This window comes from Homo sapiens, chromosome 4, assembly GCF_000001405.40.
Source record: "Homo sapiens chromosome 4, GRCh38.p14 Primary Assembly".
NCBI lineage: Eukaryota > Metazoa > Chordata > Mammalia > Primates > Hominidae > Homo > Homo sapiens.
In genome coordinates this window covers 147,739,623-147,759,069 of record NC_000004.12, presented here as the reverse complement: position 1 = coordinate 147,759,069, position 19,447 = coordinate 147,739,623, and the positions used below count along the sequence as shown (strand labels likewise).

At 43.0% G+C, this 19,447-nt stretch overlaps 1 protein-coding gene and 1 pseudogene across 3 annotated transcripts in view, besides 1 other annotated feature; one reads left to right on the top strand and one right to left on the bottom strand.

Annotated features, from left to right (window-relative positions):
* ARHGAP10 (Rho GTPase activating protein 10) overlaps positions 1–19,447 on the bottom strand; it is a 340,689-nt gene that overhangs the window by 313,707 nt on the left and 7,535 nt on the right. The gene's annotated exons all lie outside the window — the stretch shown is intronic.
* Positions 13,653–13,767, top strand: RNA5SP165 (RNA, 5S ribosomal pseudogene 165; annotated as a pseudogene).
* Positions 17,113–17,162: an enhancer, noted in NCBI's record as "active region_22006". NCBI's record gives its function as "activates an Ori minimal core promoter by ATAC-STARR-seq in GM12878 lymphoblastoid cells {active_cell/tissue: GM12878}" and the evidence as "EXISTENCE:reporter gene assay evidence [ECO:0000049][PMID:35858748]".

Genomic DNA, 19,447 nt, shown 5'->3' with positions numbered 1-19,447 from the left:
ACCTCTGCCTCCATGAACCTTGCATTGAAGAAAATAGACAAAAAGTAGATGCATAAAAAATATACCACCTGTTTTCGGTTTTTTTTTTTTTTTTTTTGAGACAGAGTCTGTTACCCAGACCGGAGTGCAGTGGCACGATCTCTGCTCACCGCAACCTCCTCCTCCCAGGAACAAGGAATTCTCACGTCTCAGCCTCCCAAGTAGCTGGGACTACAGGCACGCACCACCACCCCCAACTAATTTTTGTATTTTTAGTAGAGACCGGGTTTCACCATGCTGGCCACGCTGGTCTCGAACTCCTGACCTCAAGTGATCCTCCTGCCTCGGCCTCCCAAAGTGCTGGGATCACAGGCCTGAGCCACCACACTCAGCCTAAAAAATAATAATAATAATAAATTAAAAAAAAATACACCACCTGTATTCTAACAACCTGCCTGAAAAATAGGCAGGCACAGGGGACAAAGAATGGAGAAGGAATGCACATTTAAACAGCACAGTCAGAAAGGCCTCCCTGAGCAACACACTGAGGCATGGACCTGTTATCATCAGCATCAAAAAGTATTAGCCAAAAGGGGACAGGCTTTCTTTCTGGGGTGATGAATATGTTCTAAAATTGACTGTGGTGATGGCTGCACTAATCTGTGACTACACTAAAAGCCATTGATTATACATTTTAAATGGATGAACTGTGTGGTGTGTGAATTATATCTCAATAAGCTGCTAAAAGAATTAAAATATCAAAAAAATTAGCCAAAGGTTTAGGTTTATTCATACATAACTACATCAAAATCTTTTTTTTTTTTTTTGAGATGAAGTTTCGCTCTTGTTGCCCAGGCTGCAGTGCAATGGCGCAATCTTGGCTCACCACAACCTCCACGTCCCGGGTTCAAGCAATTCTCCTGCCTCAGCCTCCCAAGTAGCTAGGATTATAGGCATGTGCTACCACGCCCAGCTAATTTTTGTATTTTCAGTATGGACGGGGTTTCTCCATGTTGGCCAGGCTGGTCTCACCAAATTCTTTATAGAGGTGGAAAACAGTTCCTTTATCTAATGTAACGTTTATAAAACCAATAGGGGTGCACAAAGCAAGCTATGGCACACGTACCAGGCTTGTATTTGTATGGTGCCTGCCCCTCTTCTCCCTGGCCCTGGTGAGGTAGCAGTCTCGGGCACACCTGTTCTGTATCACAGGTGACTGGACAGGGATGGGCACCAGATCCCAGGGAAGGGAACAGACAGGTTGGCCAATGACCAGCGTGAGCCAGGCCTGACAGCCTCTTCCGAAACAAGGACAATGGTAATTAGCTGGGCCAACCAGATTCTCTTAGGAAGGTGACTGAAGAACAGGTTAAGTACCCAGGTGTGCAGTCGTGGAAGGTGAAGCTGAGGACACTCACCGTAGAGGCCCGTGAGTAAGCCAATGTTCAGAGGAAGCAGAGGCTATGAACGGATGGAAGTTGTCAATGCTACAGCAGATGGAAAGCTGGTAAAGGGAAATCTAGATGATGGACATGGCAGCAAAACTGGGAGGACCAGCTGGGTCACCAAGCCTTCTCTCAAAGCTACACTGCCCCAGCCAGGCGCGGTGGCTCACACCTGTAATCCGAGCACTTTGGAAGGCCGAGGCGGGCAGATTGCCTGAGCTCAGGAGTTCAAGACCAGCCTGGGCAACACTGTGAAACCCCATCTCCACTAAAATACAAAAGAAATTAGCTGGGCATGGCGGCATACGCCTGTAGTCCCAGCTTTCGGGAGGCTGAGGCAGGGGAATTGCTTGAACACGGGAGGCAGAGGTTGCAGTGAGCCCAGATGGCACCACTGCACTCCAGCCTGGGCCACAAAGCAAGACTCTGTCTCAAAAAAAAAAAAAAAAAAAAAAGGCTAGACTGTCCTGTGTTCCCATTAACTTTCAGGTTCTGATATCCAATGTTTGCCTCATCTCCTAAGCTGAAAAGATTATCATCTTTGATTTATATTTTTCCGTAAATTTAAAGAAGCCACTATAGCCCAGGTTCCCTCTGGCATCATTCATTTCTCTCTCTCTCTCGCTCTCACTCTCTCTGCAACTGCACTGCCACCAGCCTAGACCAACCAAGGCCCCTCTCCTCAAGGTGAGCCTTTTCCATTATACCAGGCATTCATGAATGCCCTTCCCTCTTCTTATAATCTGATGAAAAAAAAAAAAACAATTACACAACCTTCTGTGTTGTATTCCCATAACCAGACTGTAAATTCTAATAAGACAATACATTACACATTTGCATTTCTCCCTCTAACTCCCTAAGACCAATAACAATATAGTGGTCCCCCCTTATCCAGGGAGGATATATTCCAAGATCCCCAGTGAATGCCTAAAACCATGAATAGCACTGTAAACCTTATATACACTATTTCTTCCTATACATACAACCATACAGTGTGGATACCCTGGACAAAGGGATGATTCACATCCCAGGTGGGATGGAGCAGGATGGCACATGATTCCATCACACTACTCAGAACAGCACACAATTTAAAACTCATGAATTATTTCTGGAATTTTTCATGTACTATTTTCAGATCATGGGTAACTGAAACCACGGATAAGGGGGACTATGGTATAGTTCATACTAACAGTGCTCATCAAAGACCTGCTGATTAACTGAAGTTAATGGAGAAACACTCCTGAGATGCCCACTCTAGAGTGTGTAACTGTTTTTAGAAGATCCAGAAATGGTTTATTCAACAGCCATTCCAATATTTTATACTCCCCCCACCACCCACACCTTCCTCTACAACAAGGGCTGGACCACAAACAAATTTTTCCCAGACTTACTTGGGGCTAGGGAGAGCAATTAAGAACTGCGGCCCATGAGGTATTAGCAGAAGCTGACTGGAGAGTCCTGGGAAAGCCTTGGATACAGATCCTCCCTTTCTTTTTTTTCTTTTTTTTTTTTTTTGCCTCCTAGTAAGTGGGTGGGTGTAATGACTAGGCCATCTTGCAACCATGAGGAAAAAGGCAAGAAATTTTTAGAATCCTCACCACTGACAACTAGCCAGCAACCACCTACTATTGACTTATTATGTGACAGAAAAAAAAAATTACCAACAGGGTCAAGGTCTAAAAGCCAGTTGATAACTGGCTATTCTGTTACATGCAGCTCTTCTGTTACATTCATTACTGATGCATTGCTCCTCAACACATATGTGAAATAATACAAAACAAGGACAAAATACACAGCAAACAGCCACAGAGGCTGACTCATAATGCACTACACACACACACCCACAACCACTCACACACACCCACACCCCACCTTCTTTCGTGATAGTCCAGCTTCTAAAAGAGCCAAATAGAAAAATATCACCTACACTATATAAGGGCAAGAGAAGGACAAGAGGCAGTATCTATTTAACTGTGTTTATAAGAGCAAAAGTACAGCTACTTCCTAAAATATTCCAGCAGCTCGCCAAAGAAAAGGCCAATGATGTTAGTGTTTTCCAAAACAGCCCTCTCTTTCTTCTTGATAACATGGAACTGGTATTTTTTTTTCTTTCCCTTTTTTTGAGACGGAGTTTCACTCTTGTTGCCCAGGCTGGAGTGCAATGGCGTGATCTCGGCTCACCGCAACCTCCGCCTCCTGAGTTCAAGCGATTCTCCTGCCTCAGCCTCCCGAGTAGCTAGGGTCCCTTCCTGTTTACAAACAGTCAGATGGAACAAAACACCTTGCAGTTTTCTAGAATGAATTAACTGGGAAGAAATGCCATGAACACAGAACGCCCAGACTGAGTTGATCACAAAAGACTGGTTATGTAAGAGAAAATTTAACAAGTAAAAATAAGTAAAAATTTTAATGAGAACAAAATGATATTTTTGTTCTTAAAATAACAAAAACTTCAAATGTTACATCTTTGGTTTTACTTAAATAATAAGTTTGCTTTTATTATATCCTTATTGTTTGGAATGTTTTTAAAGCAGTCATTTTGAAAGAATTTTTTTTTTTTTTTGAGACGGAGTTTCACTCTTGTCGCCCAGACTGTAGTGCAACTGCGCAGTCTCGGTTCACTGCAACCTCCATTTCCTGGGTTCAAGCAATTCTCCTGCCTCAGCCTCTCAAGTAGCTGGGACTATAGGCGTCCGCTAATTTTTGCATTTTTTAGTAGAGACAGGGTTTCACCATGTTGGTCAGGCTGGTCTCGAGCTCCTGACCTCAGGTGATCCAGCCGCCTCCACCTCCCAAAGTGCTGGGATTACAGACGTGAGCTACCACGCCCAGCCGGATTTTAATATTTCTTCAGGGACTTCATTATAATTCTAACAGAAGAATGTACAACTTATGTAGCAAAATCATTTATATTTGTCTTTTTCCTGTTATTTTGCTTTATGTTAAACAAATTCAGTGCTAATGCACATGTGTAACAGTAAAATTTCACCCAAATTCTCTAGCTGGTGAAAGACAAAAAAAAAAATTGAATACAATTACATTCAGTATGTTGAATATAAACTATCATCAAGGAAAGACAACAGAAATTCATCCAAAGGAACTAAATTTCTAACAACCCCCACTGAGCTTTTCTTTCTATCTGGAGGCAGTTTGGGGCCCTCAGTAGTTTTGAACACTATCCCAACTGTGCCCCAGAACACTGACTCCTTTCTAAGCCTGTCTTAACGTTCTGAAGTTTCATCAACTCAACTAAGGCCAAAACAGCTTTCTAGCCCCTTTCACCTCCTGTGCATCAAAGTACTCAGCAGGAATTTGCAAGAGGAACTACAATAGCAACAAATGGTATGGAGTTACTTACAAAAGGCATCGTATGCCTTATGTAAATGACACCTGGAAACAGAACAAGAATTAAAGGCCCTGAATTCCCTCAACTTGCATCTGCTTCTTAGCTTAACCTAAATAAACATTCTAGACTTCTGGGACTTCCAACTCAAACATTCCAGGAGCCAGATGGGTACTGACTCAGTGCCTATGAGCAAGGCACTGTTCTAGACACTGCTGGAGGACGAAAGACAGACACTGCCCTCAGTAAGCCAGGAGTTTACTGGAACCTGGAACACAGGCAAGGTGAGGGGTATCAAAGTTTTTAGGAACGTTAGGTCTTTCTTAGAACGAGTAGTAGCAGATGAATGGAAGCCCCAAACTATGAAATAATGTCACATCATCTTTGCTCAATTTGTTAATCTCTCTAACCACAAATTAAGCATCAAGAGGAAGGACTCTCATACATGTGGAATTATTAAACGGTGCAGCCTCAATACTCTCTCACTCTCATCCCAATGTAAATTTTCAACATTCATGAATACGTGAGCATCATGAAAATAGTTTCGAAAGGGGAAAAAAATCATTCTCTCAAATATAATTTTCTCATTTACTGGTTCATTTCCTTAATTACTTGTTCACTGCAAACAAACATAAGAAAATTGACTTCAGGCCAGGGGCAGTGGCTCACGCCTGTAATCCCAGCACTCTGGGAGGCTGAGGCAGGCAGATCACCTGAGGTCAGGAGTTCAAGACCAACCTGGCCAACATGGTGAAACTCCATCTCCACTAAAAAAAAAAAAAAACCAAAAAATTAGCCAGGTACGGTGGTGCACACCTATAGCCCCAGCTACTCAGGAGGCTGAGGCAGGAGAATCGCTTGAACCCAGGAGGCAGAGGTTGTAGTGAGCCGAGATCACATCACTGTACTCCAGCCTGGACAACAGACTGTGTCTCAAAAAAAAAAAAGAAAAGAAAAGAAAATTGACTTCAGAGTAAACTCAACACTAGAAATGAGCTTCCTGAACTGACAGGACAGAGCAGATATATCTAAGTGGCCGCTGCAGGCATGTTTCATGTTTCCTTATCTATGGTGTAAGAAGGTTGGACATTCCTTCCAGCTCCAACACAGCAGTCAGGAGACGAGTTTTATTTCCAGCTTTCCATACGCAAATTGAGGTTTACTAAATTCAGTATTTACTGGCTAAACTCTGAAATGTTTTAAAACTGACTACAGTGTCTTCACTGATACTATTACTTTGCCATATGACTTTGGACAAAATTCTTAACCTTCTGGGTAGCAGGCTCCTCATAGGTGAATCTGGAGAAAATTTACTTCAGATTAAATACATTGAGAATACCATCACCAAAGAGAATAAAAATACTTCTAAAAATAAAAGGAATGGCTATTATTTGGGAAGAAAATAAAATGGCAACACAGGCATGAGATAAGCAGCAAATTTAATCAAAGGCCCAGATCAGCATTAATAGTAAAGCAGGCCAGGTGCGGCAGCTCACGCCTGTAATCCCGGCACTTTGGGAGGCCAAGGTGGGAGGATCACTTGAGGTCAGGAATTTGAGACCAGCCTGGCCAACATGGCAAAACTCCGTCTCTACTAAAATACAGAAATCAGCCAGGCATGGCGGCGCACACCTGTAATTCCAGCTACTCGGGAGGCTGAGGCACAAGAATCACTTGAGCCCAGGAGGTGGAGGTTGCAGTGAGCCAAGATCACGCCAGCCTAAGCAACAAATGAGACCCCGTCACCAAAAAAAAAAAAAAGATCAAACTGTGAGTACAGATTAAACCTGTGTACCCTCTATTAAATCATTAACAGTAACATTACTTTTTAAAGTCTGCTTTGTTTAAAAGCAAACAATAGCGTTTTTTTCAATTTTTTGTAATGCAAATAAAATAGCACAGCCACTATTCCAGATTATATGAAAATGACTTCCTTTCCTATAACTTTTAATAGCTTAAAGGAAGTTTCTATCACTTGATAGAAAATTTTTAATTTCCCGAAAGTAAGCTTTGCAGACATTACAACCCCACGACTTTACACAAGATAACACCCCAAATCAGATCTGTGAAATACTGTATCAATGACAATAATGCATGCTCTTCTATAATACTAAAGGCTTGGCCAGGCGTTGTGGCTCATGCCTGTAATTCCAGCACTTTGGGAGGCCAAGGCAGGCAGATCATGAGGTTAGGAGATCAAGACCATCCTGGCCAATATGGTGAAACCCTGTCTCTACTAAAAATACAAAATTAGCTGGGTGTGGTGGCGCACGCCTATAGTCCTAGCTACTCAGGAGGCTGAGGCAGGAGAATTGCTTGAACCTGGGAGTCAGAGGTGGCAGTGAGTCGAGATCATGCCACTGCACTCCAACCTGATGGCAGAGCAACACTCCATCTTAAAAAAAAAAAAAAAAAAAAACTAAAGGCTTCAGAAAGTGTATAACTTGCAGGAGCCTCAGCTACCTAGATGAGTACCCTCGGGCAAATGTCAACCTCTCTAAACCCACGTTCTTAAATTGCAAAATGGCAATTATTACGAGATTAACTATCAGAGGACTGCTGTGAGAAATGCTAACTCCTGTGAAAACACTGGGCACAGTCTCTGAAACACAAGTGCTCCAAAAAAAGCAAAAAAAGGCCAGGTGCAGTGGCTCACACCTGTAATCCCAGTACTTTAGGGGGCCGGAGGTAGGCACATCACTTGAGGCCAGGAGTTCAAGACCAGCCTGGCCAACATGGTGAAACCCCATCTCTACTAAAAATACAAAAAAAATGGCCAGGCGTGGTAGCATGCGCCTGTCATCCCAGCTACTCAGGAGGCTGAGACAGGAGAATTGCTTGAACCCAGGAGGCGGAGGTTGCAGTGAGCCGAGATCACGCCACTGCACCCTGGCCTGGGTGGAAGAACAAGACTCTGTCTCAAAAAAAAAAAAACAACAACTATTATCTACTCCTACTACAAACACCACCATTATTATCATTAATTCCAGTAAACTTGTTTTAGTACTTCTCAGATAATGTTTAACAATAGCTAAACTTATATATCAGGTCAATTAAAATCTAACATCTCTAATCTAAAACAATAGTGATCTACTCATTGTTTGTTTTTTTTGTTTTTGGTTTTGAGGTGGCGTCTCACTCGGTTGCCCAGGCTGGAGTGCAGTGGCCAGATCTGGGCTCACTGCAACCTCTGCCTTCCGGGTTCAAGAGATTCTCCTGCCTCAGCCTCCCACGTAGATGGGACTATAGGCACGCACCATCACACCCGGCTAATTTTTATATTTTTTAGCAGAGATGGGGTTTCACCATGTTGATCAGGCTAGTCTCCAACTCCTGACCTCACGCGACCTGCCCACAATGAGCCCTCCAAAGCTCATTGTTTTAAATTGAAGATATTTTATGGCCGGGCACCAGTGGCTCACGCCTGTAATCACAGCACTTTGGGAGGCTGAGGCAGGCGGATCACGAGGTCAGGAGTTTGATGCCAGCCTGGCCAATATGGTGAAACCCCATCTCTACTAAAAAATACAAAAATTAGCCAGGCGTGGTGGTGCGTGACTGTAGTCCCAGCTACTCAGGAGGCTGAGGCAGGAGAATCGCTTGAACCCAGGAGGCGGAGGTTGCAGTGAGCTGAGATCACGCCACTGCACTCCAGCCTGGGTTACAGAGTGAGATTACAACCCCCCCCAAAAAAAAAAAAAGATATTTTATATGTACTTCCATTTAAGCAAATCCAACACATAAAAACGGATATTAATGCACACAAAACAAATAGGTTGGGTGATGACTATTCCCTTTAAAGAAATCATCACCAATCCCTCTTAATTTAGTTATATGTAAACTACGATTAGATTATGCACACACAAACACAATGCACACACACAAAGCTGAATTATGTATTAATCCCGTTCCATTCTTTCTTCCTAATGTACACTCTGACTTTTGGTATGCATTCATTAAACTGACGCCACAGTCAGAAAGAAATTAAACACCTCCCTTCATTCTAGGTGACCCTCCAACACCTTCCAAGGGTCAAATGCTCCCTGATGCATTCACTTCCACCATGGTACAACTCCCTCTCCACTCCTTTCCATTTTGTTCTCACTGCATACATTAAACCGAGAAACTGTGTTGACTCAAAACTACACTTTCAAATTTAAAGCTTTTGGAATGAAAATTTTAAGGTCAAAAAATACAAAGGTCTTTACAAAGTTGCCTCTTTGTTTTCTGGACAAAGAAGCACTTTTTAAAATCTTTTTGTTCTTTGCTTGTCAAGATAAATCAGTCCTGCCACACTCAGGTAAACACTGCCAAAAAGCACTCAACCATCTTATTGCAAACAAAACACTGTTCGCTGTGGTTAAGTGATACATTCTGTTTCTGGATACATGGCTGTTCATCAACAGGTTAATTTGCATAGCCATTCAAGCCTTTTAGACAGTATCAATTAAGCCACAACAGTCGATTCTAAAAGATTTCAGAGTTTACATAACAAATATTTAGTTTGACCGTCTCAGTTCTCTTATTGCAATGAACAGAAAATAGTGCAAATAGCTACCTACTGTCAAATCCTTACGTTGGATTTTATCCTGCATACACAATAAACTCGAAAGATGGAAAATATTTCCAGAGACTATAATACAGTTTCAGAAGAAAATAATTTAGACAACTTTTCTAGATGCTTAAAGGATTTCTCAATTGATTTCAAATTTAAAATTAAATCAAGAACATACAAAATTAGAAAATACATATGTTCTAATTTCCATTCAAGAAATGTTTTCTTTGTTTAAAGGTAAAAAGAATGTAAAATTATTCAATCCATTCTGCTGGATTAATGATACCCACAAAAATTAGTTTTTCTTAACAATGCTTTGTTTCTTCAAAAATAAATAGGAGAACTATCAGTGTCAGAAATTTAAATTAAGCCAGTAAACTGCTATTTAATTCTTTAAATATTTTCTTGGCCTACAACAAGCTAAGGTGTTATAAATATTAAGTATTTTAATCTAAATTTTTTCCTCTGGTCAGGGGTTCTATTATAAGGCATAGATACCTCACTGTGCCAACAACCTTGTCCTTGTATCCAGGCAAGCTACAGGAATCACAGTCTTCATTTCCACCCTCTTGCCAATTTCATCTCTCTCACCTCCTCTATTATGGTTAAAATTAATCAACCAAGCAACGGGGAAAAAAATAGAAGGCATACTTATTTTGACTGTTTTCATATAGTCCTCATTTGTTTTGCCATGTGCAGTCCCTAGGCCCAGATCAAAACAGGTCTAATAAAGTGAGTTTCAAAAGTAAAAGTTATCTTATGTATAGGACATCAGCTTTCTTTTTTTAAGACACAGGGTCTCACTCTGCTGCCCAGGCTGGAATACAGTGGCATGATCACAGCTCACTGCAGCATCAATCTCCCGGATTCAAGCAATCCTCCCACCTCAGCCTCCCAAGTAGCTAGGACTACAGGTGTGTGCCCCCACGCCCCCAACCCTGTTTTTAGAAATAGGGTCTATGTTGCCCAGGCTGGTCTCAAACTCCTAACCTTAAGCAATCCTCCTGCCTCAGCCTCCCAAATTGCTGGAATTACAGGCCTGAGCCACAGTGCCCAGCCTATCTACTGCTTTTTGTGTGTTTAATGTACATATCTTGATGTGTTTGCAGATAAGCATACACCTGTGAAACCATCAAGCCACCATCATTATCAATGCTATCACATCCAAAAGTTTCCTCCCACTCCCTGTATCATTTTGTTTTTGTTTTCTTTTCCCTTTGTGGAAAGAGCACTTAATATAAGATCTACCCTCTTAGGAAAATTGTAAGTATACAATATTGTTAATCATATGCTCCATATTATACAGATCTCCAGATCTTATTTTCTAAAACTAAAACTTGGTACAAGACATCAGCTTTTTTTTACTAGTTTCTATACCCTTTGTTGTGAGCTGTGGCATTCTGTCCGAGCAATCACTTGCTGCCCACTTCTTCACCCGACTGGTAGGCACATGATTCAGGCTGGCCAAAGTACAACATCCACCACATCTCAGTGACTGGTCTATGCCGGGCAAGTGACCCAGGACTGATAAGGCCTTTATGTAGAGCAACCACAGGTCCAGGTATACTTGTAGCAATTCCAGTTCATGGTTATTGTCTTAGCATAACTGTACTTCTCAAGAGTATCTGGGTTTAGATTACATGGGCTCCCTATTTCTAAGGCAGAGTTTCTCAACCTCAGCACTACGAACATTTGGGGCTGGATCATTCTTCATTGTAGGGGAGCTGTCCTGTGCACTGCAGGGTGTTTAGCAGCATCACTGGCCTCTGCCCGCTAGAAACCATAGCATCTCCCTAAAGTAACAACCAAAATTGTCTCTAGACAGTCAAAATCACCCATTTGAGAACCACTGGTCTAGGGAAAAAGAGTCAGTATTCTCTGGAATTCCCAGTGCAGTAAGAAAGGTCTTTAGTCTTCAGTCTTCACCCACAAGCCAAAATTTCTTTTTTTTTTCTTTTGCTTCAACAAGGTTTTAGTCTGATTCCTCTCACTGACAGCTGAAATAAATGAGCATCCATAGTATTTTTATAACAATAATCTGAAGAAAGGGGAAGAAAAAGTTCAGATTAATTTTTAAACTCTATCCTTTCCACAAAAAAACAGGACACCAACTCTAGCTCTAGAAACACATGCAAAGAACTTCTCCACTCATATCCTCCCTCTGAAGCATCTGAAGGTCTCCACACTCCACATCCCTGAAGGGATGCTGTGTGGCCACCTCCATGGCGGTCAGGGTGTCCAGCCCTGAAGGGAAGACAAGGGCTATCTGCATACCACCCACTGATGGGTATCTTTTGTAAGCATTTATTTCTTCTAGGCATTGTTTCTTCAACTAGGTTGAACCTAAGTAGTTAGCTAGAAAAGAGCAAGAGAAGATATTTTTAGATAATAGATAATTATTCCATTTTTAACTCTTACAATTTCTATTCCTCCTCTTCTCTTGGACAAAGAGGCAGACACTTGGAAGTCCTACAATCTTCCCAGGTGCTGCCAGAGGCATTTTATTCCCTGTAGACATCCAAAGAGAATCAGCATGACTCCGGTGAGATAAAAGAGAAAATCGGTTTTAATACTTTGGGGGAAAAAAAAAAAAGATGAAGGACCGTTTGGGTCTTTTAAGTGCAACAGAACAAAGTGTGAAATAAAGCCTGAAACAGCGGCCTTTCTGGGTATCATGAGGGTTGTTTACCCAAACATTTAACTCCTTTTTCTCCCCTAACCCCATTACCTCTTCTCAGCTTAACATCTGTATGCCATCCCACTCAGTTCAAACAGACTATGAGGAAAACCACTCTTACAAGTCATGTAGTATTAATATCAACCAGAAAAAGAATGTGGTGGGGGAGAGATTAAAACAGAATTACTGAATCTTGTCATCTACCTCAGGGAAAATAAATCCATCAGTTGACAGTTTCCTCGATGTCCTGCCATAAATCTACAATTTGAGTGTGTAGACATCATTTACCATCTCCTCTGTCATGAAACAGGTGAAAGGTACACCCTCCCACCACTTCTTCACCTAGAATATGAATCCCACCTTCTATATTAAGAAGCACGCTGCCAGGCACGGTGGCTCACACCTACAATCCCAGCACTTTGGGAAGCTGAGGTGGGCGGATCAGCTGAGGTCAGGAGTTCAAGACCAGCCTGGCCAACATGGTGAAACCCCGTCTCTACTAAAAATACAAAAATTAACGGGGAGTGGTGGCAAGCGAGCTACTCAGGAGGCTGAGACAGGAGAATCACTTGAACCCAGGAGGTGGAGGTTGCAGTGAGCCAAGATCGCGCCGCTGCATTCCAGCCTGGGCAAAGAGCAAAACTCCATCTCAAAAAAAAAAAAAAAGCAGGCCTGGCGCAGTGACTCACACCTGTAACTCCAGCACTTTGGGAGGCCAAGGCGGGCGGATCACAAGGTTAAGAGATCAAGACCATCCTGGCCAACATGGTGAAACCTCGTCTCTACTAAAAATACAAAAATTAGCTGGGCATGGTGGTGCATGCCTGTAGTCCCAGCTACTCGGGAGGCTGAGGCAGAAGAATCGCTTTAACCCCGGAGGCAGAGGATGCAGTGAGCCAAGATCACGCCACAGCACTCCAGCCTGGCGACAGAGTGAGACTCTGTCTCAAAATAATTAAATAAATAAATAAGAAGCACTTTGTGGCAGGGCACGGTGCCTCACGCCTGTAATCCCAGCACTTTGGGAGGCAGAGGCGGGAAGATCACGAGGTCAGGAGTTCGAGATAAGCCTGACCAACATGGTGAAACCCCATCTCTACTAAAAAGATGCAAAAAATTAGCCAGGTGTGGTGGTGCACACCGGTAATCCCAGCTACTCAGGAGGCTGAGGCAGGAGAATCGCTTGAACCTGGGAAGTGGAGGTTGCCGTGAACCGAGATCACGCCACTGCACCCAGCCTACGCAACAACAGCGAAACTCCATCTCAAAAAAAAAAAAAAGGCCGGGCACAGTGGCTCACACCTGTAATCCCAGCACTTTGGGAGGCCGAGGCGGGCAGATCAAGAGGTCAGGAGATGGAGACCATCCTGGCTAACACGGTGAAACCCCGTCTCTACTAAAAATACAAAAAATTAGCAGGGCGTGGTTGTGGGCGCCTGTAGTCCCAGCTACTCGGGAGGCTGAGGCAGGAGAATGGCGTGAACCCAGGAGGCGGGGCTTGCAGTGAGCTGAGATTGCGCCACTGCACTCCAGCCTGGGTGACACAGCGAGACTCCGTCTCAAAACAAACAAACAAACAAACAAACACTTTGTGCTCTGAGATGGACCCCTGAATCTTCCATCTCCTCCTCTCCCACTGACCACGTAATCTGGGTCTACAGCCACACCACCCTGAACACATTCAACCCTGTCTGATCTCAGATGCTAAGCAGGGTCAAGCCTGCTTGAAGACAGGGTTGAATGTTTTGAAGTATTTGGATGGCAGGCCAAATAATTTAGGAGAGCTATCCGTACCCAAGTTCACTGACTTTCCTCACACTCCCTTCTCAGCCCTCTGCAAGCAGGCTCCCAGTTCTGCTTGGCCACCTAAACTACTCTCCCACTATTACCAATGACAGTGTGTGGCCAACACAATGTCACCTTGACTCAAGCTACTTGACCTCTCTGTGGCATGGCCTTGTCTACTCCCTCCTGCTCTCTGAACACTCTTTCTCCTTGGCTTTTGAGACCCTCTCCTGGTTTTCCATCTCTCTGTCAATGGCTACTGTTTCTCAGATTTCAAGTTCTTCTTTCACCTACCCCTTAAAAGATGGAGTTCCTCCGGATTTGCCCTGACCCTCTCCCTGCCTTCTCCCTCTACATTCTCTCTCGGCAGCCTCGGTATTCAGCTGCATGGCATCGTTTCCCATCCATATGGTGTGTCTCCAGAATCTTTATCTCCAGCTGTATTCCCCATTCCTGAAATACACACCCATAAAAGAAACACACTATTGAACATGTCTCCTGGCTACTACGAAATACCTTGCCCTCCACATCCAAAACCAAAAACTCATCCTCTCTCCCACAAAAGCTGCTGCTGTGGCAGGACCTCAGTGAACTGCACTCACCAGCCCACACCAGAACCTGAGGTGTCAGGGCAGCCCCCACACCCAATCACCCCCTATAGCCTGCAGCTGCTAAGTCTTGACTCCTCTTCTGCCACCAAAGTCTCTGGCCTGGATGACTGACCCCCCAACCTCCAGTCCTGCTTTCCTCCGATTCATTTGCACAACTGCACTCCGAGAAAGCTTTCTACAACAATTCAACTCACACCACTCCCCTACACAAAACTTTTCGATCACTTCCTACTGTCCTTAGAGTAAAGCCCTCAACCTGCTTTCCAAGGGCCTTCTTGACCCTCCCCCACCCCCTCGACAGCACCATTCTTATCCTCAATGCAGATTCCCTGGCCCACCTGAGCACCATTTTTCCATCCACAGGATGTGCTCTCTCTGACCTCTCAGATGCATTTTCCCTGCACTTGGAGAATACTTCTTCCCCACTCTCAGCAGGGAAAGCTCTGATCCCTCCTTTTGGTCTCAGCCTAGAAGTTTTATTTTCTTGAAGTCTTCTTGGAACCCCCAAACTAGGTAGTCCTGTTAACTACAGTCATCGCATCCCATACTGATTCAACAATGTGAATGTAATTGCTTTTTAAATAAATTTGCTGTCTCCTGCACTAGAACTCTTCTGCACTAATATACACGTTTCTTCTCACAAACCTCTAGCAACTAGCCCACCATAGCTAGAGTTCAGTGACAAGATGACACCACTCCACCACTGTCATAAATAAGGTTGTTCTAGTGATGACTGAATATATTTTTAATTTTTTTTCTACGCCTAGCAAACACAGAGAGAGTTCACTATGGTTCAGGCAATTTTTTTAAGTACTTTAAAAATAATTTAAGCCTTGCAACATTTTAAACATGTAACTATTATCCACTTTATTTATTTATGTATTTATTTATTTTTTTGAGAAGGAGTTTCACTCTTGTTGCCCAGGCTGGAGTGCAATGGCGCAATCTTGGCTCACCGCAACCTCTGCCTCCCGGATTCAAGCGATTCTCCTGCCTCAGCCTCCAGAGTAGCTGGGATTACAGGCATGCACCACCATGCCCAGTTAATTTTATATTTTTAGTAGAGATGTGGTTTCTCCATGTTTGTCAGGCTGGTCTCCAACTCCCGACCTCAGGTGATCCGCCCGCCTCAGCCTCCCAAAGTGCTGGAATTACAGGCGTGCACCACTGTGCCCAGCTGACTATTATCCACATTTTACAGAGGAGGAAATCAAGGCACAGAGAAGTTAAACAACTTGCCCAAGGTCACACAGTAAGTAAACCTGGTTTCAAAGACCTATCTATTTTAGTATGTTTGCTGTGCTGCCTTTGATTCGCATTTCACAAAATAAAAACAAAACTATCGGCTGGGCGCGGTGGCTTACACCTGTAATCTCAGCACTTTGAGGCTGAGGCGGGTGGATCACGAGGTCAAGCATTCGAGACCATCCTGGTCAACATGGTGAAACCCCATCTCCACTAAAAATACACAAAAATAGCCAGGCATGGTGGTGCACGCCTGTAATCCCAGCTACTCGGGAGGTTGAGGCAGGAGAATCGCTTGAACCCAGGAGGCAGAGGTTGCAGTGAGCCGAGATCATGCCACAGCACTGCAGCCTGGGTGACAGAGTGAGACTGTCTCCAAAAATAAAAATTAAAAAAAAAAAAAAAACTATCGATCAGTATGGCAGAGAATCTGCCCGATTCTCAAATAAATGTAATGTCATGTCAAGGACACTGTATTCCCTTGTACTTCTGGCTTTGTCCCCAAAACTTTAAAAAAAAAAAAAAGGCTTTCAGTAATACATCAGATTTCAACACTATTATGGATGATTTCTCCTATGTATAAATGAGAGGCCTATATTCAGCTCTGTGCTTCAAAATATGATTAGATTGGAAGAAAAAAACATGCGCTGGGCACAGTGGCTCATGCCTGTAATCCTAGAACTTTGGGAGGCCGAGAGAGGCGGATCACTGAGGTCAGGAGTTCAAGACCAGCCTGGCAAACATGGTGAAACCCCATCTCTACTAAAAATACAAAAAAATTAGCCAGGCGTGGTGGCAGGTGCCTATAATCCCAGCTACTCGGGATGCTGGGGCAGGAGAATCGCTTGAACCCGGGAGGCAGAGGTTGCAGTGAGTCGAGATTGTGCCATTGCACTCCAGCCTGAGCTGCAAAAGCGAGACTCCATCTCAAAAAAAAAAAAAAAAAAAAAAAAGTGTTCACAGACTATTTCTCCTGTAACTATGGGTAAAGCCACAACTGTGCTCAAGTTCAACCAAAGGAAAATAGTTATTTTAATAATAATAATAAAAATAATAGGCACCTACCATAGCCAAGCAGAGTCCTAAGATCTTTTAATATGTAATGTGAGGATTAAATACCACCACCAGTGAGGCAGAGTTCTTACTAGGGCCATTTTACTAATAAAGAAAAATGTAGGCACTGAAGGCTTAAATAACTTGCCCAAAGTCACACAGCTAATAAACGGTGAGGCCAACTTTACAGTCAGAAAAGAAAGCACTCATTTTTTTTTTTAAGAGACCATTCCACATCCTGTATTCTGACCTGAGGTGACACTGCTGTGGCCAAATTGAGTTCTTCCAGCCACACATCTCACCATGACTTGCCACCAAGAGTGAGGGTAGAAGATGCCTGTGGGTAAACAAGTCAACAAGTCAGGAGAAATCACACTCACCGTTGAAATATTAAGTGGCACTGGATTAATGTCTTTCTGAGGAAACACAGGGAGGAAATTCTAGTTGGACCAGGGAGTCAGGCCTAGCTATGGCAGCAACTTGGGGTGTGACTCCAGTCCATCTCAGAGTTTACAGAGATGCCTGCCTTTAGAATGCAAAGCGCCTGGTGTGTGTGTGTGTGTGTGTGTGTGTGTGTGTGTGTGCGTGTGTGTGTGTGTGTGTGTGTGTAAAGAGAACGATATCAAGATGCCTGCCTTTAGAATGTAAAGTGTCTGGTGTTTTTCTCTGTGTGTGTGTGTATGTGTTTATAAAGAGAACAATATCAAGGCCTTCTCAATACAAAAGCATCCCCCTGGCAATTACATTCCTGTGTTAGGATAAGTAAGGGAAGCAGACCTGCCAGTGTTTGCTTTGGGGCTTACCACAAGATACCATCCAGTCCCTGCCTGAAAATCATGTTCATCTGCCCCAACTAGCTTGACAGTTACCAGAATTCTCCATGTACATTGTGTTTATACAAACATCATTTTTCTCTTTCTAATCAGAAGTCTAATTTCAATGAAGCAAAATGGCTTTTAAAGATTTTTTGTTTCTGACTCAAACCAGTTCTCATATAGTCCTGAGACATGAACTGGCTTACTCTGATTATCCATGCTGGGCTGGTAACAAAATACCAAAAAGAAAATGGGTTAAATGTCTTTAAGATTCATGGATTTATTAATTACTGACTGTTTTGAAAGCTAGTATCCTAAATTTATAAAACAAATTTCAATAAGGCTTTCATCATGAATATTCCCTAAATATATTTAGTTTTATCATCCAAAAAATGCATAGGTAGAAGGTACATCATCATAGAACATCAATTAACAAAGTCCTTTTAAATGTCACTTGTAGGAAAAAAAGGTTGAACTAAATGAAATAAAGTTACATACATCCAATTGGATGAATCTCACAAATATATTCAGAGGGAAAAAAGTATAGGATGAAACCATTATATAAAGTTTAAACACATGCAAACACATTATATATTGTTTATGGATGTGCCCAACTGTATCAAAATGCCTAGGAACAATAAACACCAGATCTGAGATAGGTCCTACCCCTTGGGGAAAAGAATGGGTATACAAGATGCTTTCATTAAGCTGGGGGGAGGGGGAAAAATAAATGAATGTTTATTGTGAGACTATCTTTTTATATTTCTAAAGTATCTCAAACTTTTCAAAGGAAAAACAAGCCTAATACTAAAAGAATAAGTTAAAAGTTACTCTACTGAAGGGTAGGACAAGGAATGGGGAGGAAAAGAGGAAGGTGGAGATTGAGAGAGACAGAGTGGAGGTCTGTGTCTTGTAATGGATACTAAATCAACCCGACCTTGGAATGTCTATACTGTACTCATAATACAAATTAGCAATCAGTTTAAATTATAATAATGGCCCCAGAGGGGTCTTAAAATTTAACAAAATTTAAATCAGTCATCATACTAATGTAAAAAGAATATCCTAACTAGATCAAATGTACACACACTCTAGATAATCAAGATCGATTATCACTTCCCTAGCAGAAGACCACGGTTACACCCCTTTACAGAGACAGCTCATTACTGTGGTTCAGGGTTTTGGAGTGAAGACAAACCTAGGTTCACATTCCAGCTCCATCAATGACAAATTGTGATTTAGACAAGCTACTAATCTCTCTGAATTCACTGAGGTCAGGAGTTCAGGACCAGCCTGGCCAACATGGTGAAACTCCATCTCTACAAAAAATACAAAACGTAGCCAGGCCTGGTGGCACACACCTATAATACTAGCTACAGGGTGTGCAGCTGAGGCTGAGGCAGGAAACTTGCTTGAACCTGGGAGGCGGAGGTTGCAGTGAGCCAAGATCACACCACTGCACTCCAGCCTGGGCAACAGAGCAAGACTCTGTCTCAAAAAAAAAAAAAAAAAAAGTAACCCAGTAAGGCCAGACGCAGTGGCTCACACCTGTAATCCCAGGACTTTTGGAGGCCGAGGCAGCTGGATCACCTGATGTCAGGAGTTCGAGACCAGCCTGGCCAATGTGGTGAAACCCCATCTCTACAAAAAATACAAAAATTAGCCGGGTGTGGTGGCAGGCGCCTGTAATCCCAGCTACTTGGGAGGCTGAGGCGGGAGAATCGCTTGAACCTGGGAGGCGGAGGTTGCAGTGAACCAAGATCATGCCATTGCACTCCAGCCTGGGCAACAAAAGCGAAACTCCGTCAAAAAAAAAAAAAAAAGCCCAAGATATAAGGTGACAAACAGCTATTGAAGTCACAGAATTCAAAACAGCTTCTTTGGGAATTTGTCCAGAGCACTTTTGAGTATTCCACTGTAGAGAACAGGATTACCTAAC